Source organism: Homo sapiens, chromosome 3, assembly GCF_000001405.40.
Source record: "Homo sapiens chromosome 3, GRCh38.p14 Primary Assembly".
NCBI classification, from domain to species: Eukaryota; Metazoa; Chordata; class Mammalia; order Primates; family Hominidae; genus Homo; species Homo sapiens.
This window is the reverse complement of record NC_000003.12, coordinates 182,149,525-182,175,127: the sequence shown is the minus strand read 5'-3', so window position 1 is coordinate 182,175,127 and position 25,603 is coordinate 182,149,525. Positions and strand designations below refer to the sequence as shown.

General features: G+C 38.5%; 1 long non-coding RNA gene across 4 annotated transcripts in view; it reads left to right on the top strand.

The window, feature by feature from the left end:
- The window catches only part of LOC105374243 (uncharacterized), a 33,238-nt gene extending 7,635 nt beyond the window's left edge, over window positions 1-25,603 (top strand). For 2 of the 4 annotated variants that reach the window (XR_924756.2, XR_924758.2), the window contains exons 5-6: window positions 17,666-17,835; window positions 25,523-25,603. This is a non-coding gene — a long non-coding RNA (uncharacterized LOC105374243). Of the gene's footprint in view, window positions 1-993; window positions 1,179-8,469; window positions 8,569-17,665; window positions 17,836-25,522 lie in introns of those variants that run through there. The other 2 variants (XR_924757.2, XR_924759.3) reach the window with 2 other exon arrangements.

Here is a 25,603-nt window from a genome sequence, read left to right as displayed (position 1 = left end):
TTTGGGCATAGAAGGCAGTGGTGGGCCCCACCCACCACCCACCACAGACACCTGATGCTGAGGACCCTCCTTGTTTATCACCATTCTGATCCTATTCTGACATTAATTTATTTATGGAAAAACATTTCTTCAGGCATCATGCCCAACACTGAGTACTAAGAGGAAAACACAAAGGACAAGGTCTCTGGTCCTGAGGAGCTTATTGGAGTGAGACACGAAGAAAACGTATGAATGCAAATATGATTTTAAAGTGTGTACATTTTATGAAGAAAAGAGATAGATACCCAGGGGAAGAATAAAATGGGGGCCAAAGAAAGCCCCTCTGTAGAAGAAGTGATATTTGAGCTGCGATGTAAAGAATAAGATGGAATTCATGCAGGCAAATCGAAAGAGGACAAGTCTTCCAACAGCATGTGGGAAGAAGTATGAAAAAGAGAGAGAGACAGACAAAGACAGTTCAAAGACAAAAGCGCATTTTAGATATTTTTTAAGTTTTTGAGTGTATGCAATCTAATATATGATATCTTTACAATGACCTATGGTACTGCAATAATCAGAAAGTTTCCTACTCTTTGGTTTTTCTGCCATTTATATATCATGTTGCTTAAAAATGTTGAAGGCCACTTTCCCCATCTTTGGCCTATTTTTACTTTTTTCCCCTGCACCAATTTTGTGCTTTGTATTGGTGACACTGACCTTTGAAACAGTACTTCTACTTTCTTTCACTGCCTGTGTGGCAGAGGGGCAACTCGCCATCCTTCCCCTGGTTGTCTGAAAGCCTGTATTCTATGTGTACCAAGTGATGATTTCTTTCTCTTGGCCAAGTGTGAATTACTTTAATGCGGCCCTGAAAGCAGTTTTATAATCTAAAGAATAAACAGATTACTTGTCAAATTCTCTTTGTCTGTTCCATTGTGACCTACTAACATTTACACTGCTTTGTGGAAACATGGCAAAAAGGTTGGTTGCCTACATCAACTATTTCCATTGCAGGAAAATGTGACTATGCTGGCTTTCGGGCAAAGGGTGGCACCCCCACCTCAAGGCCATGACCAACCAATGACAGTGGGACTGAATGCTCAGAAGTTATTCACAATTTTGAATCATTTTAGAAGATGCCCTTGAAAGAATGGAAGCATGGACAAGACTTTTTAAAAATAAAAAACTCCTTTTCTAAAGCCATTGTTTTTGGATTCATTTTTCTCTTATTGTGTTTGGAGAGATGTTGAATATGCATTCTAAGAATCCATGAGTTTTAAATTACAAAAGCCATGGACATGGAGAAATGTTTCTTAGTGATAAAGCAGAGGGTTTTAGAAAATTCTACAATGGCATTGAGAGGCCATATAGCTCACGTCTCAGCTTCCTTCCCTTCTCTATAAACACCTTCAGCCATGGGGACTTTCGATGAAACCCACTACCATTTTTTTGACAGCGTGAAACATTAGGAAATTCTTCCTAACGTGCAACCAGAATCCAGCTTTTTTTTCTATCCATTGGCCACACTTCTGCTCTGCACAAGGCAACACAGACACTTACTCTACTGAAATACTGCTGGGGAAAGAACAGTGAACTCAGTTTCTCTGGGCAACTGGTTTGAATTAGTTATTTCACAAATAACTAATTCAAATTTCTTTATAATTTAAAAAAACCCACATTTCCCACTTTATAAAAAACTTTCAAACATTTTGGTGTGCAAAATATTCCAATGTTGTCTTGTTTTGGGGAAGAGGCTTTCTTCCTAATGGCTTTAAGTAGGAAATTAACATTTTTGTGAATATAGTGGGGTATTTTTTGCATTTCCATGATAATACATTGGAATTTTAGGAAAATATTGTGACAAGAGAGTGTGCTGAAGTGAGTAGCAAGAGTCAACGATCTCTCCTACCTGAAGACTGGATGCCACTGTAGCTTTGCCCTTTCTAAAGCCCTTCTAGCTCAGTTTATCCCCAAAGAACCACTGAGTGCTGGTCCAAATAATTGCCGGGCTTAGCTGCCAGATTCATTCAGAAATTGCTGGTATTGTCCTCTGTAAAATGATATGTTCCTATGATCTCCCACTCTTTTCAGCAAACCAGAATCCTGGATATAATTTGATCTTCATTATGGAGAGGGAGACTGAATTAGATAATAGAAAACCTGAAGAGTTTAAGTAACTGAGGATCAACCTCACCGTTCCCCATCCGGCTTTTCTCCCCAGCTGAGGTGGTTGTTTGAGGCTCAAGTTAATTTGATAAGAACCGGGGAAAGAATATTTTGAGTCCAAGATGTGAGGCTAAGGGCTTTCCCTGTCCAAACTCCCATTCCTGAAATGTCCCCAAATCTTAGGTTTACATCTTACAAAGGGAGATGCCAGGACTGCTTCTTTGTATGAGTAATGCTGCTCTCCCGCCTGCCTCCGGGAGCCTACAGGTAGCAATTTGCCACATCCTTTGCGTTTGACAGAGGGCTAAGAATTAGAGGAGGTGTTTTGCTCTCCTGTCACTTGTCTCCTCACAGTATAATTATCTGAGTTCCTAAGTGCTGCAGTGATATATGAAGAAATCCAAAGAAGAAATACAATATGTCTTCATTGTCTTTTGTCATTAGCCCTCAATTAAATATTTCTTACCTTGGGCTAAGGTAGCATGGGGTGGAACAAGCAATGGGCTGCAAGCCAGAAGAGGTGAGTCTTAATCTCTCTTCCACATGCATTAGCTGTGTGTCTTTAGTCTAATCACTTAACATCTCTGAATCTTGGTGTTTACTTCCATAAAACAAAAAGATAGACTTGATTATTTCTAAAATTCCTCTTGGGGCTGAATTTAAAAAAAAATTCTTGTGACTATAACTTGCATTTAAAATCATGATGGAAAAAATACTCTAAACACCAAGTGAAACTGGTTAAAAGCAGTAAGTCAGCTAATCAGATGATTATCTATTGAGGCTTCCTCTATAATCTCTAATTTTGCAAAAGATAATTTCCAACCCATGCATTTCATAGTCTTTATAATAAAGTTCTAAGAGCATTACTAACTTTATGTATATATTTATTATATCTGAATATGCCTACAAAGTAGTGAGGGTAGTTTCTAAAAGCCATACTGAAGAAAGTTTCATTGTGTGTCACACATAGTGTCTTCCTTTCTACAGAAAAATCATATTTTAAGGATGGCTAGAGACAAATTTATTCTTCATATCTCTTCTCTTCCCATCATTTACAAGTAATGCAAGTAAAAAACAAAACAACAACAAAAGCAAAATGTTCTACAGTTAAATTCAGGTCCTAGGTAATAATATAATCCAATATTTAAATGGTGATTTAAAATTCTTTAAAGTCTTTTAATACAAAATGTTTTATTAGCTCCTTTCATTACCCTTGTTAGGTGTAGAGGAGGGTAATGTTATCCCCATTTTGTAAGCCAAGAAAGTAAAGTTGGGTGGTGAAAACACAAAAGTAAAGGGAAAGGAGACAAGCTCCCCGAATGCTGGGAGGTGTTGTGCTGAAGTCGGAGAGCCAACAGACCGGATTGCCTTTGGAACAGACGTTCCCGTTTAGGAAATGTTGTATTAGCTTTGCTTTTCCTGAAATGAAAAGTCATCAAACAAATCTTAAAGGCAAGCTCCTTGGGTCTCAGGTGACTGTCTTTCTCATCATGTCAGACATACTGTCTCTCTGTATAAGGGAGTTTTGAAGAGGATTTTTTATAATCCTGACTGTGCCTAAAAACCATAGCCTGTGGTATACACATAAGGAAATGTCATTCAAAGCTCTGAATGAGCTTCTAGAAATTCCATGAAGCCAGCTTGGCAGATTTTCTAGGCTGCTGACAGTGACTAAAATCACCGCGTGCTTCCTAAGAGAAAATTTTGTTGTATAAGATATGGCCGTAATACACTCAAAAGTGCAACAACTTTTTTTTTTTTTTTTTTTTTTGAGAATTAGGTGGTCTCTTTTCTTTGAATTTTGGACTGACAAATGAATGACATAGTGCCATGTGAGCATGGGTTGGTTCAGAATCTCTTTCCTTGCTCATGAGAGCCCTGGACTTGAGCAGCAAGGTCAGAGTGGCAGTCACATTGTGAGAGCTCGTAAGTGTAATCCACCAGCTTGAAGAGACATCTCGTAGCATTCAGTGACCCCTGCACACCTCCCGCAGGCCACCTTACACTTTCTAGCTTGAGGCCTTTGCAGAATCCATACAAGCTGTGAAATGATTTCTTCCCATAAAACCCTGGAACAAAGAAGTGCACTCTCTGCTTTCTGGTAAGCCTTGCTGAGCTATCTAGAATTGTGGTTTAGCTCCACAGCCATGGGCCTTTGGCAAACAATATCATTCATTTCTTTCAAATGATGATAATAGCAAGCAAGGCTACTATCATTATTACTTTCTTTTCACTCTTTTTTTCTCTACGAATGTTTCAAGGTTTTGGAGGGAGAAAAAAAAAGTCAAGGTTTGCGGGTCAGTAGTAACAACTTTGGACAAAACTTCTTCAATAGAGCCTCATAGTATTTGGTTTAGTAAGTCTATTTGAAAGCAATAACTTGCAGAAGCAAGCAACATCTCAAAAAACCTGTTGGCTGTTCAACTTTGCCATCTGATTTCTTAAGGAAAATATCAACTTGTTCTGGATTTTAGCACCCTCTATTTCAGGGTGTCTTAGTAAAGTAAAATATTTCAGAAGAGGTAGGTTCTAGGAGAATCCAGTCTTAAAGATTATTTTAGTGAAAGAAAATATAACTCATAGGGCAGAGCTGGATGAATGGAGTTTAGACTTCACCATGAAACCACTCAGTTTCAGAAACTCTCAAGTATCTTTGGTTGGGGAAAATTTGGGTTGATTCAGTTTCTTGAGATACATCAAATTGGTTGAGACTTGTAGTGGTAATATGAATCATAGTCCCTTAAAGTTAAGAGAGGCCTTAGATGTCTTCTAGTTCAATTTTCCATAGATACAAGAATCTTCTCTGCACAGTCTCTGCTTGAACATCTCCAGTGACGGAGAGCTCACTGCTTCACTACACAGCTCAATCTGAGGTTGAATAGCTTTAACTTTTAGTAACTTCTTCCTTGAACTAGAATTTTGTTTCCTTTATCTCCCATCAAGGTCTGATCTTTGGAATATGGTGAATAAACTAGTTTCTTCTTTCACTTGGCATTGTATTTGGAGATAAATGTCATAATAACTGTGTATTTACTTTCCAAGCTAAATATTCCTCTTAAAAAGGTTTTTACCAGAATAGGGCTATAAGAACTTCAATTTAAAAACAAACATTTGGGCAACTGGAAAGATATTCACTGTTTTTCATCAGGACTTAATATGTTAAAAGTGTTATGTCTCCTTACAGTAATCAATAAATTCTATGTAATCCCAATTAATAAATGTATGAATTCTAAATGATATAGGTTCCAAATGATATAGGTGTTTATTCCTAGAACTGTCAAAAGTCATCCAACACACTATCGGCCTACTGTGTATCAGGGGCTATTCCAGGTATTGTATATAGCTACAGAAATCTCCTGTGTAACAGCACATACATTCATATGACAAACAAAATCACTCCCTCATGGAGTTTACCTTCTAGTGGAAGAAGACAAAAGTATTATCATTTAAGAAGGATTTAAGCGACATGAAAAAAATACAATAGGGCAGTAGGGTCAAGAATGACTGGGTTGTGGATGTATGGGTGTGGAGGAATGCTGCTCAAGTTAAGGTAGATGGAGAAGCCTCTTGCAGAGGCAATATTTGAGCTAAGACCCTAAAGATGAGAGAGACACAGCCCCACAAACCACAGGGAGATGGGTTCTCCCATAGAAGGACTATCAAAAGCAAATACCTTGAGACAGCTCATTGCATCCAGGAGGACAGAATTGCTATAGTGGAGTGGACATTGGAGAGAATAGTGAGTGAGATGGTCATACAGTCAATAAAGGGTCAGGTCTTGTAAATTCTACACTCCATAGTAAGCAGCTGAATTTCATCTGAGCATTTTGGGCTGGGTAGTGATAGGATCTGATTTGAGAATATCACTCTGTTTACTCTGTAAGGAATCAACTGCAGGGGAATAAGGGGAGGGAGTGGAAATAGAAAAACCAGTTAGGATCCCAGGACTGAGAAAATGAAGGCTCGAGCTACAGTAGTAGTAAGGGAGATAGGGAAGAGCAGTAGGGCTTTGCAATGTGTTTTGGAAGTACCACTGACAGATCTTGCTGATGGATTGAATGTAGAGTATGAAGGGAAGAGAGAAGCCAAAAACAATGTCAATGCTTTTAGTCTTAGCACAGGAGAGAGAGTTGTGCTGCCATGTGCACCTCTGGTTAAGATTGGGGGGCACGGCCAGGCACAGTGGTTAACGCCTGTAATCCCAGCACTTTGGGAGACCGAGATGGGTGGATCACCTGATATCAGGAGTTCAAGACCAGCCTGACCAACATGGTGAAACCTTGTCTCTACTAAAAATAAAAAATTAGCCAGGCGTTTTGGCACATGCCTATAATCCCAGCTACTTGGGAGGCTGAGGCAGGAGAATTGCTTGAACCTCGAGGGCGGAGGTTGCAGTGAGCAGAGATTGCACCATTGCATTCCAGCCTGGGCAACAAGAGTGAAACTCCATCTAAAAAGAAACACAAAAGATTAGGGGGCAGATTATGAAAATTGGGGGCAGGAAACAAGAGTTGTCTTGGACATATTGGGTTTGCAGTTTCTGTCAGACATCCAAGCGGAGATTGTATGTAGACCTTTGGAGAGAGAACTCTGAAGCTTAGAGAGAGAGAGAGATTACAGTTGGAGACATAGAATATTGAAAGGCATGGGACTGGATAAGATCAAGTAGATGAAGGAAAGGAGAAAATAGCAGAGCATGGGAAAAGGGGGAAGGAGGGACGAGGAGAGGAGATGAGAGAAGAGGTGAAAAGAAAAGCAGAGGAAAGATGAGAGGCCTGACCTGCTCTTATATTTAGAGATTAGATGTAAGAGATTAAACATCAGAGAAGACATAGAAAGAATGACCAGTGAGGTTGGAGGAAAGGCAGAAGAATGTGGTGACTCCAAAGCCTCAGAAGAAAATACAAGAAAGAAAGAATAATCTCCCGTGTCAAATGATATTGAGACTCAAATAGGATGAGAACAGAGAACTGACCATGGACGTGTCAAATGAAGGACATCAATGACTTTGATAAAATCTGCTTCAGGGAGTGGTGAAGTGAAAAGTCTGATTGAATGAATGGGTGAAGAGAGAATGGGAGTGAGAAAGTGAGAACAGCAAATACAAACCACTCTTAAGAATTTCTGCTGAAAAGGTAAGCAAAGAAATGGGGCAAAAAGAGGAGTGGAAAATAGAGCTAAGGGTTTCTGCTTTTTTTTTTTTTCAAGTGGGTGATGTTAAGGTGTATTGAGATGCCTAGTGAAAGGATTCATCATTAGTAAGTAACTAATGACGAATGAGAGAGACGAATAATCGCGAGGGCAAATGGGGATGTGGATCAGCGCGGTAGGTGCAGAGAGAGGCTTTACATAGAACAGAGACTCTGCTTTTCCTTCACAGGAAGAAAAGCCAAACATAGGTGACGACTGGTCGTTTTGATGGAGGGTTGGTGTTGCTTTAATTTAAACCCATTGTTTTAAAAATATAGTTGTCACCTGGAAAAATAAACATGCCTAAGCAACCAGGAAAGTGTTATGGAAGAGAACAGGGTGGAGGAGTGTGTGTGGCGGGGGGCCAGGGAGAGTGGGGGAAGTGAGAAAGGGATGGTATGAGATCTGCTAGAAATGAAAATATTCTATGTTATACAAGAACTGAATAGAAAATCTAGAAGTAGGACATAATACATATGATAACTTAGTGTATAATAAGAATAGCCCTTCAAGTCATCAGAGTAAAAATAGGTTAATCAATAAATAATGTTGAGTTTTATTTCTAGCTGTTTGCAGGAATAGGAGATTTGATCTCTGCTTCACTCTTTAAAACAAATTCCAGATGGAGCAAACATTTAAACATAGAAAATACCATAGAAATATTTTTTAAATGGGGAATTTAAAAATATATAGTTTTGGCATGGCAAAGATATGGCATGAAACTCAGAATCATAAAGGAAAGAAATAGACTAAATTCAACTTTATTCAAAAATGAATAAAAATATAAATCAAAAATTAAAACATAATAAAAAACTAAATCAAGTAAATAAAGATGCTATTCTATGAAAAATTCCATAAATAAAATCAAAAGATAAAACTACAAACTAGCAAATAACATTTGTAATGTCTATGACAAAGGGCTAATATTCTTAGTATGCAAAGAACTCTTAGAGATCAATAAGACAAAGAGAAAAAAATAATCTAACAAAACAGGCCAATACATAAACAGGAAGTTCATAGATAATTGTCAATAATCATGGAATAATATTCAACTTCACAAGTAAAATAAGAAATGCAAATTAAAACAATGAGATATTTTTCACCTGACAAATTTAAAATTTTGAAAATATCTAGTTGGTGAAGAAGCGAAGAAACAGGCAATTCAAGAAGGGCAATTTGGAGAAGCTTAACAAGAACAAGATTGAAACAAACATGCACGTGTCCTCTGACCTGGTAACAGCACTTTAGGGACTTTAACTATGAATATTCTTGTAGAAGTATACAATGAATGACCAAGAAGGTTTATAATGGCATTATTTGTAATTTTAAAAATTGGAAATAATTTTTATCAATAGGATATAATTTAATATACTATAATATTCAAAAGAGAATTAAGCCGAACTATAGCACATTCACGCCATAGAATATTATGTAACAATTAATAAGGATGAAGCATAATGTATATGGATAATATGAAAAGATAATATATCTTAAGTCAAAAATGTCAAACTATGAAAACTTGATCCCACGTAAGCTTAAAAATATGCCAACATATGTTATATTTGCATAAAAAACCTGGAGTATACATATTGAATTATTTACATTCATTTTCTCTGAGGGATGCAATTAAGATTTTGGGATGATGATGAGATGCTTCACAGTATTTTTTTTTTTTAACTATGAAAATCTATTATTCCTATAGTAAGAGAATTAATTGATTTAAAAGTTGCATCCAGAAGCAAGCATCATAATTCAGATATTGTCTAAAATCTAAAGAATGCAATTTGTGGCTAATATTTCCTTGATCTAGACACTGTGCTACTCTCTTTCAATGAAGCTGTCTTGTCTTTTCTCAAGTCTTAATCTTCACTGGATGATTCCAGTTTATTTCAATTCCATCTGAATTATAAGATTCAGGACCCTTCAGCCTTCTAGACGCCCACCAGCAGAGACACTTTAGTGTGTCACCCTTATTAAAATGTACTGTTTTAAAAGACAGCTGGATCTGAACACAATATCCCAGATCATATCTAAGTGCAAAGGTAAGGAAATGATCGCCTCCTTTATTTTATTCTTTCCTTTGGTTATTTATTTAAGGTGTACGACATGGCCATTAGTGACAAATGTGAGACCAGCATTCAAGTTTCTGTTCTGATTTTGAGCTCATTCATTCATTCATTTGTTAAGTACTCTTGGAGAGTCTCCTGGATCCCAGGTTCTCTCTGCAGTTCTGGCATACAGTCATGAGTAAAGCAGGCTAAGCTCCTGTGCGACTGACTGTCGATCACTTTGTCATAACTGTGGGTCAAGAGCTGCTCCCCAGATCGTTGCACAAGAACTTGACTGACCTGTACAACATGTCAGTGAGCAAACTTCCCTGATTAATTATGATCAGCAAAGTGCTTCAGTGGGAGCTTAGCAGGAGCTGACATAAGCACTTTCTAACCATAGATTTCAGTGGAATTTCAACTCACATATCTCTGACTCACTGGAAGTTTAAATGCCTATTGAGCTGTTACGACAGAAAGACTTGATATCCAAGATTTTTCTGTCATAGCTATGAGTTGAAAGGGTAAAGACCCTCTCAGTCTATAAATAAATAAATAAAATCACAATTGATTCTTCTTTCCTTTTTAAAATTCAAGCATGTCACATCTTAGCCAGTACCAAATTTGGTCCTCCAACTCTACTAAAATTGATTGGGGCACTATTATATAGTATTGCATTTGATAGTAAGTATGAAGGAAAAACTTCCCTCCTGCCATATGTGTCTAATTTCAGATACACAGACATTTTGAAATATATTTATATATTGGGGAAGAAGGACTAGATTTTTCTGAACAACTCATTTGTAAAACATTGAAATAGGTACCCTACATATGTTGTTCACTTTAATCCCACCCAGATACCAAAGAAGGAGCTGGGGCTTTGGATTTAGAGACAGGGCTTATATCCCAATCCTGACATTTATTAGGTGTCTTGTTAGTGACTGGCCTAAGCCCTCAGTTTATTTGTAAATTAAGGGTAATAGTAACTGCCTACCAGAATTGTGATGAGAATTGCATTTGCTGTAGTATGAGACAGGGCCCAATCCTGTACTGGACATACAGTAGCTATATAGAAAACATTAATCCTTCTTTTTTCTCTTCCCCTTCCTTTCAGACACTGCTTATTTCCACATGGGTCAAGAAGTCTGCCTTACAATCTGGGTATAGATTTCCTTTTTCTGCCCAGACCTTGCACAGAGGCCTGGTCAGTCCAACTTATTCTCCCACTGGCCAGCTTTATGATCACTCCTCCTCTTTCTTCAATAGATGCTCCTAATTTTTAAATCTATAAAGCTTATTACATATGTCATAATGGGAGCTGGATTCAAGTGGGGTCTCTTGTAGTCATTTCTAGTGACTTACACAGTCACTATTAAGAAGGTACATATAAATGCCCACAGTATGTTATTACGTGAGTAAAAGCAAGTTGCCAGATAATATGTCAATATAATTTCATATTGAGTTGTAAAATACCTATCTAATCTATTTGTTTGCACATGAATGGAAAAAATTTTGGAATGATAAACATAACCAACAGGGTTTACTTTTAATGAGTGGGATGGGGAGGTAGACAGTAAATGCTTTTTTTTTTTTTTTTTTTTTAGAGACAGGGTCTCACTCTTTTGCCCAGGCTGGAGTGCAATGGCACAATCACTGCTCACTGCAGCCTCAACCTCCCAGTGATCCTCCTGCCTCAGCCTCCCGAGTAGCAGGGACTACAGGTATGCCCCACTATGCCCTGCTGATTTTTATATTTTTTGTAAAGACAGGGTTTTGCCATGTTGCTCAGGCTAGTCTTGAACTCCAGGGCTCACCCACTTCGGCCTCCCAAAGTGCTGGGATTACAGGTGTGAGCTACCACACCTGGTGGGACTTTTATTTTTTTACCTAACTATACTGGTGTGTTATTTTACTTTTTCCATAAAAATTATTTATACAACAAAAAAAAATTTTAAATATAATGAAGAAAAATGTGTATTCAATGTTAAAGGACCTGGGATTAGATATTTGAAATGTTTTCTACATAGGTAGCAGAATGACTGAGTCTCTCATTAACATTTTTTAATGATAAAATAATCTTGCCATTTGACTATGCACAAACAAGACATCTTATTTTATATTATTTGATGTATCACATTCTGAACTCATAAATCAGTTAAATTTGAGATGACCATTAACATTACAGAGCTAAGTCACCTGCCAAGTGAAACCTACTCTTGACTTTAAAAGACAACACTTCACAAACTAGAAAGCACACAAGAGTCGGGCAACATAAAGTACTTCTTGGCATCGAATTCAAAATAAAAGCAAAGCATTTTTATTCACATTCAACTAATTTTTACAAAACATGTACATGTACCTCATGGTGCTGTGCATTTTTACATATGTTTCTTATTTGGATCTCAAAACAACCTGGTGAAATAGACTATGCTAGCTTTCTTCACAGATGAGCAAGCTAAGTTTTAGTAGAGAGACTAACAGTGACTTGCCCAGGATCACTCAGCTAATGATCCCAGAGCCAGGACATAAACCCTACTTTTTTGGCTCAAAGATCTGTGCTTTCTACTTGACAACATATTGCTGATGAAGATATTCTGGTTAACTCATGAATTCCCAAGAACATACACAGGGAACCAAAAGGATTCCTGAAATCAACTAGCACACTTTTCTTTTTGGGCTGTAGTAAAGATCTTTTGTCTATTCCCGTTGTACCCATTCTTACCAAATGACGATATTTGCAGTCATCTGCAGCAACCCTATAGAAGTCCAAAACACAAGATCACTCAGTTATTATCAAAAGCTTTTTCCCATGTCATGATAGCCAGTAAAAAACTGGTTAACAACAACTTAAAAAATATATATCTACTGTGTCTTCTTCAGTAAACTCCTTGGCTTAAATTAGAATTTCACTGTGCTTCTTTGTAGCTAAACAAAGCCTGCATTTTGTTGTAAGTAATAGAACTTATTTATACTTGATGTCCTTTGAAAAGTGGTGGCATTTCAGCAACTCAAGCAGAAAGTTTTCTTTAATTCTTGCAGACAAAATGACACGTAATTATCAGGTAACAGCATTGTTAATATTTAAATATTGGCATAAACCTTTCTATTCATTTCCAAAACTGTTTGAGATCCACCAGGGGGAGATGAATTCGTATTTGTGTCTTGATCCAACTTCTCAATGTTTGGAGGGCACCTATAGTAACCAAAAGGATCACCCAGGTACTGGAACCTGCATGACCAGTTCAGTTTTTGTAGCTCTGTGGCGAGTTTGCAGTAATGTATGGGTTTTCTCATCGCCAAGATTTCGGCCAGCATTTCTTGCTTGTCGTTCTTCATAACTGTCTTTGCAGGTGGGGTGAGTCATTGCCGTACTTGTCACTGAGGCTTCCAGGGGTGAAACTCTGGATATGTTCTCTGTCATCCCAGACAATCCTATTGGGTGAATCTAAATTATGTTGTATTTGTTTTTTATTAGTTTGAGGATACCTAAGTATGTCAACCCTAGGTCAAGATATAAACTTTTCATAAAGCCTAGCCTATAGAAAAGCTTTAACTTTGGGAAAATGGTTGATGAAATTTACATGTGATCTCCAAGTCAACCCCCACCTACCACCCCCAACATACATACTTTCCACCACTGGTCCCAGGTTTATACTCTTGACCAGGCCCGCTATGTGATACAGAGCAAATCACTCCATTTCTCTAGGTCTCTGTGTTTTCTTATAAGATAAGGGTGCAGGTCTATCAGACGCATGCCTCCTTCCAGTGCCCTTCTTGTGCCGATGGAAGACATTACTAGTTGAACATCAAACTCTTTCCTGATAAGCTTGGAAATGGCTATAGCAGCCTCAATCCAACACCCTCAAAGTACACATGTAGAGGATACATCATTAAAATAACTGTGGAGGACATTTTTTCCTTCTCAACATCTCTCTTTTCAAGAGGATATTTAGGTTTTCATATTCCAAATTTATAGAGAATAAAGGAAGCACCACCGATGACTGGCACTCTTAGTCTCCCTAATGGCCTAACCTTATGCTGGTTATTGTCATAGGGCCTTCAAAGAGAGTCAAACACTCAGATGATTTAATGGATTTGATGATATATTTTTTAGATTGATCTGGAAATCTTGGATTTAAAAGCTGGTTGGACTGAGGGAGGCGGTTTCCTTGCTATTTTATTGCAGAGGAGAGATGACATTTGGGGAATATTTTGTTTAGTTTGTTAAGCAACACTGTAGCACTTACCAAGTGCCATGCTTTCTTCTAAGCACCTGAAAATATCAACTCATTTAATCATCACAATAACTCAATGATGTAAGTACTATTAATTTCCTCATCTTACAGATGATGAAACCAATGTTCAGAGCGGTTAAGCCACTTATCCATAGTCACCCAGCTGGTAAAGGGTGGAGCTAAAATGTAAACCCATCATTCCACCCTTGTTTGAAGTTCTCAGCACTACACTCCTCTCTCTTCATGTTGTGAAAACTCGGTGAGACCTGATCCATCTGGGGGGCATTCTTATAAAGAAAAGAGGTTGCCCTCAACCAACACCCACCTATACCAATAATAATAATAATAATAATAATAATAATAATCTCATGATAATTAAATTAAACAACACTTGCAAAGGCTCTGGCCCACTGAGTAGGTGCCTAATCTAAGCTCCTGCCTTCTGTCCTGCCTTTCCCTATAAGGAAGATTGCAAATATGTGAATCCAGCAGAAAATCAAGGAGACATGTTCTCTGAATGTAAAAGATATTCTTAATAGTGCATTTTAAAATGACTTTTTTCTTAAAAGTACCAGTGTAGAAATCAAATAAATGAATACAACTAATGATTTGGAGAAAGCAGAAAATGAAGAGAAATATTACTAATTGTTTAGGAAAATTTAGTGGTGTATTTTGCATATACACTTTATGGTAATATGCTAAAAAGACACTTGTTCACTGAACTTTACTGTATAAGGGAGGAGCCTCCTACTCCTACCCATCCTCTCACGGTTTCCTAGTCATAGAAACACTGAGATTTCCTTTCATTTGACCTGATAGGATATTTATCAAGCATCTTCTCACTTGAAAATACTGTTCTATTCATTCCTACCTTGGAAGACAGCACCACGGTTCTAAAAGTTCAAAGCATCTCCCGTCAACTAAAAAAGTTTCTCCCAAATTCATCCAAGCTGTGCTTTTCACTCAAATGCTGTTGATGGTATTTATCAGTTCATTCCATGGATGGTCCCATCCATTGATTGAGATTACTTTGTAAGTGACCCTACTGAGCACAGGACATCTTAACAATGCCTATTTCAACCTGAAAGAGTCAAAGAAGAATTTACAGAGACTTAAAGAAGGAGCAGGATTTTGAATGAGGGGAGAGATCTGAATTGTAAAGGCATGAGGGTATCCTGGGCTAGAGAGGGTGAAGTAGGGAGTGAAAGGAGAGAAACAAGGTTAGATTGCCAGGGAGAGAAAGTTTAATTTTTATTCCATATGTATAATGGTATGTTAGTTAATTATCATTTGGTTGCAAGTGACAGAAAACATAATTCAAACTGGTTGAAATGGAAAAAAAAAAAAGAAAGAAAAGAAAAAGAAAGCAGGGGCTGGGGGAGACACTGGCTCACAGAACAGAAAAGCCCATACAGCAACTTGATTTGATGCTCACATGGTGACTTAGGGTTTTCCTCTTAGCAATGTGATTCTGCCCTTTCTTCTGACATTGTTTGAGAGAAGTCATTTTGGGGGCAGAATTAAGGCTGGGTTGGAGATAGAAAATTAGAGGCTCAGCTAAACAAAAAGGCACTATTGCTACATTTTAGGAGAGAAATGAAGATAGACTGGACTCTGGCAAAAGTAGTAATATGGAGAGGACATATAGAAGGGCTACCGATTGAACATCAGGGGCACAGGGAGGGACAAGTCTAAGATGAGTGATAAATTCCAGCCTTGGGTAACTGGGTAAAAATTGGGCCTTTCATCAAGAAAATATATAAGAAGTTTGGTAGGGGAAATGTACATATTTGAATTTGAATTATCACTGGAACACTCAGTTGCAGATTTCTAGTAGGCTATTGGATATATGCTTCTTGAGCTCACAAAACCATTCTGGGCTGGAGATATGGATGTGGGATTTGTCAGAACACATGGGCCAGCAAAAAATATAGAAATATTTAAAGGTTTTGGAAGAGAAGGAGGAAGAACTGCAAAGGAAATAAAAAGGAGGGTAGTCAAGAGAGGTACAAGAAGAATTGAGAGATAGTTACCACAAAAACAAGGAATGGAGAGAAGGAAGGTATAAAATTCTAGGTAAAATTGATGAAATTAACAGATGTAAAATGTCCAGAGGATGTAACAAACTAGGAGGTCACTATCAAATCAGGTCAGTAGTAGAATCCGTGGCATCAAGAATTGATTATTAAGAAGAAACACGAGCACCAATTACATCAAGAGAGTCAACATGTTTATTTCTCACCTGTGAAGTGAAAGACACTATACCAAGCACATTGAAGAAATAATAATAAAACATGCTACATTTCCCTGAGTACCAAGAACACAAATTTATTTTATGTTTTATTTGAATTCAATCTGGCATTATAACTTAATTTGAAACATGAGCTGAATTTATTCAGAGGGGTTAAGCTTTCTAAAAAGGGAAGGTGGTTTATATATCAGAGTGTGTAATCAAGATCAGAGGATTTTGTTTAAAAAAAAATCAATCATGTATGATTGTGCTCATCAAAATTATTCCTCATTATCTCTGTTTAAGCCCTAATAAGTATTGCAACTTTACCCTGTTTCTAGAGTATTCTTGCCACTGGAGCAACTTCTAACTTTTCCCTCTCAGTGGCTTTTTATAGAAGTAGGCTTTCCCTCAATAGCAGTTGCCGTTTAATGACTCCAGCCCCAGTGCTGTTGAAAGCACCTCTTCAGTTTCTCCCTCTATTCTCTCTTCCTTTGAATCAAACATGTTAATGGCATCTACCTGAAAGATGGTCACTTCACCCTGCTTGTCTGTCTTTTAGCTCCTGAACTCCCTGTGTTTCATCTTAATCTCTCTGGTAATGCAATATGACTTTTAAATTTACTGCAGTCCTTCCCAGGGTCTCCAGGAGGAAGTGAACAGTCTACCAGTGACAGTGGTAGTAGAGTCTGTAATCCCCATGGCCTTGTAGGCACTGGCTTAAGTTGTAAAGTTTGTACTATAAATGTTCGAGCAGATTTGGGACGCACCCCTCATTCCAGGGATTCTTCATATCCACGGACATCCTTTTACCAGATTTTTGTGGGTGACAGATCTTCTTCCTTAAACTCACAAACCTTCATATATTCCCAGTAGGAACATCCACACCAAATCAAAACATCCTGTGGCTTGCATTAATTCAACAAAATTGAAAGAGGGCCCACTCACCTCTTTCTTTTTGTTTCACAATGCTGGCTTGTGAAATCTCCCTTTCTATATTTTCCTTGCTTTTGCCACTATTAGCTTTCTTGTTTGTTTGTTTGTTTGTTTGTTCCTAGTGATGGAACAAATATAATGCCTTGAAAGGCAATCAGAAATAATTTCTGAGGTATCTGCTGTTTTGCATCCTCCCAGCCTCCGTGCCCCTCCACTGGTGTGGACCATCAATGGCCAGTTGTTTCTCTGTGGGGTGTATGTGTGACTGGAACCCCCTGTAATTACCCTTTCCACAGCCTCTGCCCCCAAGCAGTGTGGCTTCTTGGGTTACTGAAGGCCTCACAACAAACCTGACTTTGTTCTTTTAGCTATCTTCTCTCAATGCCATCTCATTAAAGTACTTTGCCAGTGAAAACAGCCCTGACAAATGTCTTTCCACTTGTAACCTGGCCTGAAACTGCCTAACTTTTCTTGATGAATGGGCTAAATATTCCAAAATAATTTACTAGGGAAACTTGACAATCACCAGCTCATGTTGTCATCTATATTTTTAAAAATTTGTGTTATGCACTGACCACCAACCGTCTAAATTATTGTTTTGTTCCAATAATGAGACAAGTATGATTTATTTCTTGTCCTTTAGTATTAATATAAACTATGATAGGATATTAAGACCCATACATTAAGAGAAATAATGGGTGACCAAAAAGTATAGGGGCAACGGGGACCCCACATGTTGAGTCTTTTGTGGAAATTTGGGGGAACTAAAGCTTTTTCAAAAAATTCTTATTAAAAGGGGGTAAAACGTTCTGTGTCTAGAAGGGAAACTGTTAATAAAAGGTTTGTTAATGTAACAATAATTATACTATTTATGATTTCAGACACACTAAATAATGTCACTGGAGACAAGACGTAGCCCCATTTTCCATCTTGTAGTCCCAGTCTCAACCTCTGGTTTATTCTCCTGAGAATCAATAATGATACAGAAGCAGAGCTGGGGAGTGGAACTGAAATTTCTCAATTTGGGACACAATCTTGCTCTCAGTTATTGGTAAGCAGTGGAGGTTTTTGTTGAACTCCTGATTTTTGCATCTGGTTGTTGTATCACATTCCTGCCTCCTTGTAAGAGAAATGCCTCCTCAAAAGGAGAAAAGAATAAAAAATAAATAAATAGGTGGCTGGCAAGATAGCTGAATAGGAAGAGTGCCAGTCTGTAGTTCCCAGCAAGATCAAGGCAGAAGGTAGGTGATTTCTGCATTTGCAATTGAGGTACCCAGCTCATCTCACTGGGACTAGTTAGACAGTGGGTGCAGCCCATGGAGGGCAAGCTGAAGCAAGGTGGGGCATCGCCTCATCTGGGAAGTGCGAGGGGTTGGGGAACTCCCTCCCCTAGCCAAGGGAAGCCATGGGGGACTGTGCTGTGAGGAATGGTGCTCTCCAGCCCAGATACTACACTTTTCCCACTGTCTTTGCAACCTGCAGACCAGGAGATTCCCTCTGGTGCCTACACCACCAGGGCCTTGGGTTTCAAGTGCAAAACTAAGCGGCCATATTGGCAGACACTGAACTAGCTGCAGGAGTATTTTTTCATACCCCAGTGGCACCTGGAATGCCAGCAAGACAGAACTATTCACTGCCCTGGAAAGGGGGCTGAAGCCAGGGAGCCAAGTGGTCTAGCTCAGTGGACCCCACCCCCATGGAACCCAGCAAGCTAAGATCCACTTGCTTGAAATTCTCGCTGCCAGCACAGCAGTCTAAAGTCAACTGGGGATGCTAGAGCTTCGTTGGGGGAGGGGCATCCACCATTGCTGAGGCTTGAGTAGGTGGTTTTCCCCTCACAGTGTAAACAAAGCCACTGGGAAGTTAGAACTGGGTGGAGCACACTGCAGCTTGGCAAAGCCGCTGTAGCCAGACTGCCTCTCTAGATTCTTCCTCTCTGGGCAGGATATCTCTGAAAGAAAGGCAGCAGCTCCAGTAGGGGCTTATAGATAAAACCCCCATCTCCCTGGGACAGAGCACCTGGGGGAAGGGGTGGCTGTGGGCGCAGCTTCAGCAGACTTAAATGTTCCCGCCTACTGTCTCTGAAGAGAGCAGCGGATCTCCCAGCACAGTGCTCGAGCACTACCAAGGGACAGACTGCCTCCTCAAGTGGGTTCCTGACCCCCATGCCTCCTGACTGGGAGACAGCTCCCAGCAGGGGTCAACAGATACCTCATACAGGAGAGCTCCAGCTGGCATCTGGTGGGTGCCCCTCTGGAACAAAGCTTCCAGAGGAAGAATCAGGCAGCAATATTTGCTGTTCTGCAGCCTCCACTGGTGATACCCGGGCAAACAGGGTCTGGAGTGGAGCTCCAGCAAACTCCAGCAGACCTGCAGTAGAGGAGCCTGACTGTTAAAAGGAAAATTAACAAACAGAAAGGAATGGCATCAACATCAACAAAAACAACGTCCACACAGAAACCCCATCTGAAGGTCACCAACATCAAAGACCAAAGGTAGATAAATCTACGAAGATGAGGAAAAACCAGTGCAAAAAGACTGAAAATTCCAAAATCCAGAACACCTCTTCTCCTCCAAAGGATCACAACTCCTTGCCAACGAGAGAACAAAACTGGATGGAGAATGAGTTTGACGAATATACAGCAGTAGGCTTCAGAAGGTGGGTAATAACAAACTCCTCCAAGCTAAAGGAGCGTGTTCTAAACCAATGCAAGCAAGCTAAGAACCTCGAAAAAAGGTTAGAGAAATTGCTAACTAGAATAACCAGTTTAGAGAAGAACATAAATGACCTGATGGATCTCAAAAATACAGCATGAGAACTTTGTGAAGCATACACAGTATCAATAACTGAATCGATCAAGTGCAAGAAAGGATATCAGAGATTGAAGATCAACTTAATGAAATAAAGTGTGAAGACAAGATTAGAGGAAAAAGAATGAAAAGGAACAAACAAAGCCCCCAAGAAATATGGGACTACGTGAAAACACCAAACCTATGTTTGATTGGTGTACTTCAAATTGATGGGGAGAATGGAACCAAGTTGGAAAACAATCTTCAGAATATAATCCAGGAGAACTTCCCCAACCTAGCAAGAGAGGCCAACATTCAAATTCACGAAATACAGAGAACACCACAAAGATACTCCTCGAGAAGAGCAACCCCAAGACACATAATTGTCAGATTCACCAAGGTTGAAATGAAGGGAAAAATATTAAGGGCAGCCAGAGAGAAAGTTCGGGTTACCCATAAAGGGAAGCCCATCAGACTGACAGCAGATCTCTCTGCAGAAACCCTACAAGCCAGAAGAGAGTGGGGGCCAATATTCAACATTCTTAAAGAAAAGAATTTTCATCCCAGAATTTCATGTGCAGCCAAACGAAGCTTCATAAGCAAAGGAGAAATAAAATCATTTACAGGGAAGCAAATGCTGAGAGATTTTGTCACTACCAGGCCTGCCTTACAAAAGCTCCTGAAGGAAGCACTAAATATGGAAAGCAAAAACCAGTACCAGCCACTGCAAAAATATACCAAGTTGTAAAGACCTTCGACACTATAAAGAAACTGCATCAACTAATGGGCAAAATAATCAGCTAGCATCGTAATGACAGAATCAAATTCACACTTAACAATATTAACCTTAAATGTAAACAGGTTAAATACCCCAATTAAAAGATACAGACTGGCAAGTTGGATAAAAAGTCAAGACCCATCAGTGTGCTGTATTCAGGAGACCTATCTCACATACAAAGACACACATAGGTTCAAATTAAAGGGATGGAGGAATATTCACCAAGCAAATGGAAAGAAAAAAAAACAAAAACAAAAACAGGAGTTGCAATCCTAATCTCTGATATAAGAGACTTTAAAGCAACAAAGATCAAAAAAGACAAAGAAGCGCATTACATAATGGTAAAGGGATCAATGGAACAAGAAGAGCTAACTCTCCTAAATATATATGCACCCAATATAGGAGCACCCAGATTCATAAAGCAAGTTCTTAGAGAACTACAAAGAGACTTAGACTACCACACAGTAATAGTGGGAGACTTTAACACCCCACTGTTAATATTAGACAGCTCAACGAGACAGAAAATTAACAAGGATATTCAGGACTTGAACTCAGCTCCGGACCAAGCAGACCTAATAGACATCTACGGAACTCTCCACCCCAAATCAACAGAATATACATTCTTCTCAGCACTACATCACAGTTATTCTAAAATTGGCCACATAATTGGAAGTAAAACACTCCTCAGCAAATGCAAAAGGACTGAAATCATAACAAACAGTCTCTCAGACCACAGTGCAATCAAATTAGAACTCAGGATTAAGAAACTCACTCAAAACTGCACACCTACATGGAATCTGAACAACCTGCTCCTGAATGCCTACTGGGTAAATAACGAAATTAAGGCAGAAATAAAGAAGTTCTTTGAAACCAATGAGAACAAAGACACAATGTACCAGAATCTCTGGGACACAACTAAAGCAGTGTTTAGAAGGAAATATATAACACTAAATGCCCACAAGAGAAAGCAGGAAAGATCTAAAATTGACACCCTAACATCATAATTAAAAGAACTAGAGAAGCAAGAGCAAACAAATTCAAAAGCTAGCAGAAGACAAGAAATAATAAGATCAGAGAAGAACTGAAAGAGATAGAGACAAAAAAAACCCTTCAAAAAAATCAGTGAATCCAGGAGCTGGTTTTTTTAAAAGATCAACAGAATTGATAGACTGCTAGCAAGACTAATAAAGAAGAAAAGAGAGAAAAATCAAATAGACAAAATAAAAAATGATAAAGGGGATATCACCACTATCCCACAGAAATACAAACTACTATCAGAGAATAAATACCTCTCTGCAAACAAACTAGAAAATCTAGAAGAAATGGATAAATTCCTGGACACATACACCCTCCCAAGACTAAACCAGGAAGAAGTTGAATCCCTCAATAGACCATAACAAGTTCTGAAATTGAGGCAGCAATTAATAGCCTACCAATCAAAAAAAGCCCAGGACCAGACAAATTCACAGCTGAATTCTACCAGAGGTACAAAGAGAAGCTGGTACCATTCCTTCTGAAACTATTCCAAACAGTAGAAAGAGAGGGACTCCTCCCTAACTCATTTTATGAGGCCAGCATCATCCTCATAACAAAACCTGGCAGAGACACAACAACAAAAGAAAACTTCAGGCCAATATCCCTGATGAACAACGATGCGAAAATCCTCAATAAAATACTGGCAAACCAAATCCAGCAGCACATCAAAAAGCTTATCCAGCACGATCAAGTCAGCTTCATCCCTGGGATGCAAGGCTGGTTCAACATACGCAAATCAATAAACGTAATCCATCACATAACAAAACCAATGACAAAAACCACATGATTATCTCAATAGATGAAGAAAACGCCTTTGACATAATTCAACACTCCTTCATGCTTAAAACTCTCTATAAACTAGGTATTGATGGAATGTATCTCAAAATAATGAGCTATTTATGACAAACCCACAGCCAATATCATACTGAATGGGCAAAAGCTGGAAGAATTCCCTTTGAAAACCAGCACAAAACAAGGATGCCCTTTCTCACCACTCCTATTCAACACAGTATTGGAAGTTCTGGCCAGGACAATCAGGCAAGAGAAAGAAATAAACGATATTCAAATAGGAAAACAGGAAGTCAAATTGTTTCTGTTTGCAGATGACATAATTGTATATTTAGAAAGCCCCATCGTCTCAGCCCAGAATCTCCTTTAGCTGATAAGCAACTTCAGCAAAGTCTCAGGATACAAAATCAATGTGTAAAAATCACAAGCATTCCTATACACCAATAATAGACAAGCAGAGAGCAAATCATGAGTGAACTCCAATTCACAATTGCTACAAAGAGAATAAAATACCAAGGAATATAACTTACAAGGGATGTGAAGGACCTCTTCAAAGAGAACTACAAACCACCGCTTAAGGAAATAGGAGAGGACACAAACAAATGAAAAAGCATTCCATGCTCTTGGATAGGAAGAATCAATATCGTGAAAATGGCCATACTGCCCAAAGTAATTTATAGATTCAATGCTATTCCCATCAAGCTACCATTGACTTTCTTCACAGAATTAGAAAAAAACTACTTTAAATTTCATTTGGAATCAAAAAAGAGCCTGTATAGCCTAGACAATCCTGGGCAAGAAGAACAAAGCTGGAGGCATCACACTACCTGACTTCAAACTATACTGCAAGGCTACAGTAACCAAAACAGCATGGTACTGGTACCAAAACAGATATATAGACCAATGGAACAGAACAGAGGCCTCAGAAATAATGCTGCACATCTACAACCATCTGATCTTCGACAAATCTGACAAAAGCAATGCAAATGCAAAATGAACAGAAAATGAATGAATCCAGGAGCTGGTTTTGTGAAAATATTAACAAAATAGGTAGACTGCTAGCCAGGCTAATAAAGAAGAAAAGAGAGAAGAATCAAATAGACACAATGAAAAATGATAAAGGGGATGTTACCACTGATCCCACAGAAATACATACTACCATCAGAGAATACTATAAACACCTCTATGCAAATAAACTAGAAAATTTAGAAGAAATGGATAAATTCCTGGACACATACACCCTCCCAAGACTCAACCAGGAAGAAGAAAGGATTCCCTATTTAATAAATGGTGTTGGGAAAACTGGCTAGCCATATGCAGAAAACTGAAACTGGATCCCTTCCTTACACCTTATACAAAAATTAACTTCAGATGGATTAATGACTTAAACATAAGACCTAAAACCATAAAAACCCTAGAAGAAAACCTAGGCAATACCATTCAGGACACAGGCATGGGCAAAGCCTTCGTGATTAAAACACCAAAAGCAACGACAACGAAATCCAAAATTGACAAATGGGATCTAATTAAATTAAAGAGCTTTTGCACAGCAAAAGAAACTATCATCAGAGTGAACAGCCAACCTACAGAATGGAAGAAAATTTTTGCAATCTATCCATCTAATAAAGGGCTAATATCCAGAACCTACAAGGAAGTTAAACAAATTTACAAGAAAAAAAAAACGGCCCCATCAAAAAGTGGGCAAGGGATATGAACAGACACTTCTCAAAAGAAGATATTTATGTGGCCAACAAACATATGAAAAAAAGCTCATCAATGCTGGTCATTAGAGAAATGCAAATCAAAACCACAGTGAGATACCATCTCAGGCCAGTTAGAATGGTGATCATTAAAAAGTCAGGAAACAACAGATGCTGGAGAGGATATGGACAAATAGGAATGCTTTTACACTGTTGGTGGGAGTGTAAATTAGTTCAACCATTATGGAAGACAGTGTGGTGATTCCTCAAGGATCTAGAACCAGAAATATCATTTGACCCAGCAATAATCTCATTACTGAGTATATACCCAAAGGATTATAAATCATTCTACTATAAAGACACATGCACACATATGTTTGTTGCAGCACTATTCACAATAGCAAAGACTTGGAACCAACCCAAATACCCATCAATGACAGATTGCATAAAGAAAATGTGGCACGTATATATACCACAGAATACTATGCAGCCATAAAAAAGGATGAGTCCATGTCCTTTACAGGGACATGGATGAAGCTGGAAACCTTCATTCTCAGCAAACTAACACAGGGACAGAAAACCAAACACCACATGTTCTCACTCATAAGTGGGAGTCGAACAAGGAGAACACATGAACACAGGGAGGGGAACATCACACACTGGGGCCTGTCAGGGGTAGAGGTGGGGGAGGGAGAGCATTAGGAGAAATACCTAATGTAGATGACGGGTTGATGGATGCAGCAAACCACCAAGGCACATGCATACCTATGTTACAAACCTGCATGTTCTGCACATGTATCCCAGAACTTAAAGTATTATAAATAAATAAATAAATAATTTTTTTTACAGTTTTTAAGAAGAAAAGAAAGAGGAGTTTAAAAAAAAGAAGGTTTCTTTTCCCAGATACAAACAACTGTATCTATTAATTTATTTATTTAACTTTTATTTACTGAAGTTTCCTGGGAGGCTATACAGAGCAGTGGCTAAAAATGAAGGCTTAGGTTTACAGTTTGTTGGTTCACACTTCAGCTCCACGACTTTGTCATCCTATGGCTTTAGACAGCAAAGCTAAACATGTTCCTTAGTCCCCTGTGTCTCAGCTGCCCATCTGGAAAATGGTGCTGAGGATTAATTGAGACAGTCCACATCAAGTGGTTAAGATAATGCTTGGCATATAGTAAGCACTCATTGAATGTTAGGGTTATTATTTCTATATATGAGACATAGGGTCCTGAAAAACTACAATAGCATATATCTCCCCTAAAACATCCTATATGTACACCTATAATGTAGGTGAAAATTTCCCATAAACTCCTGAAAGGGGCTGATGTAAAAGAGCTTAAAATTTGAGGAAAGTAATTGAAATAGGCTAATATGAGCTCTTTATAAATATCTACCTAAACTGCTTGGGCTTATGACTAACTAGACAGCCTATTTCGTGGTCGTGCTACTGTTTACATAGATCCAGTGTCATTCTTTTCAAAGGATTAGAATCCGGCATTAGTACTTCTACCCACCTGAATGATTAAGGATGCACAGATGAGTTCCTCTGATTTGAATCATGAATGATAGTGAAGCATTTTTCTATACTTTTGTCTTTTAACACTTACAGTATCACTATAACATATTTATCTCCTATTTTACAGATACAGAAGTTGACACATAAAAAGTGAAGGGTAATTCAAACCAACATTATCATATCTGCTAAAACTTCTAAGTGTCCAATT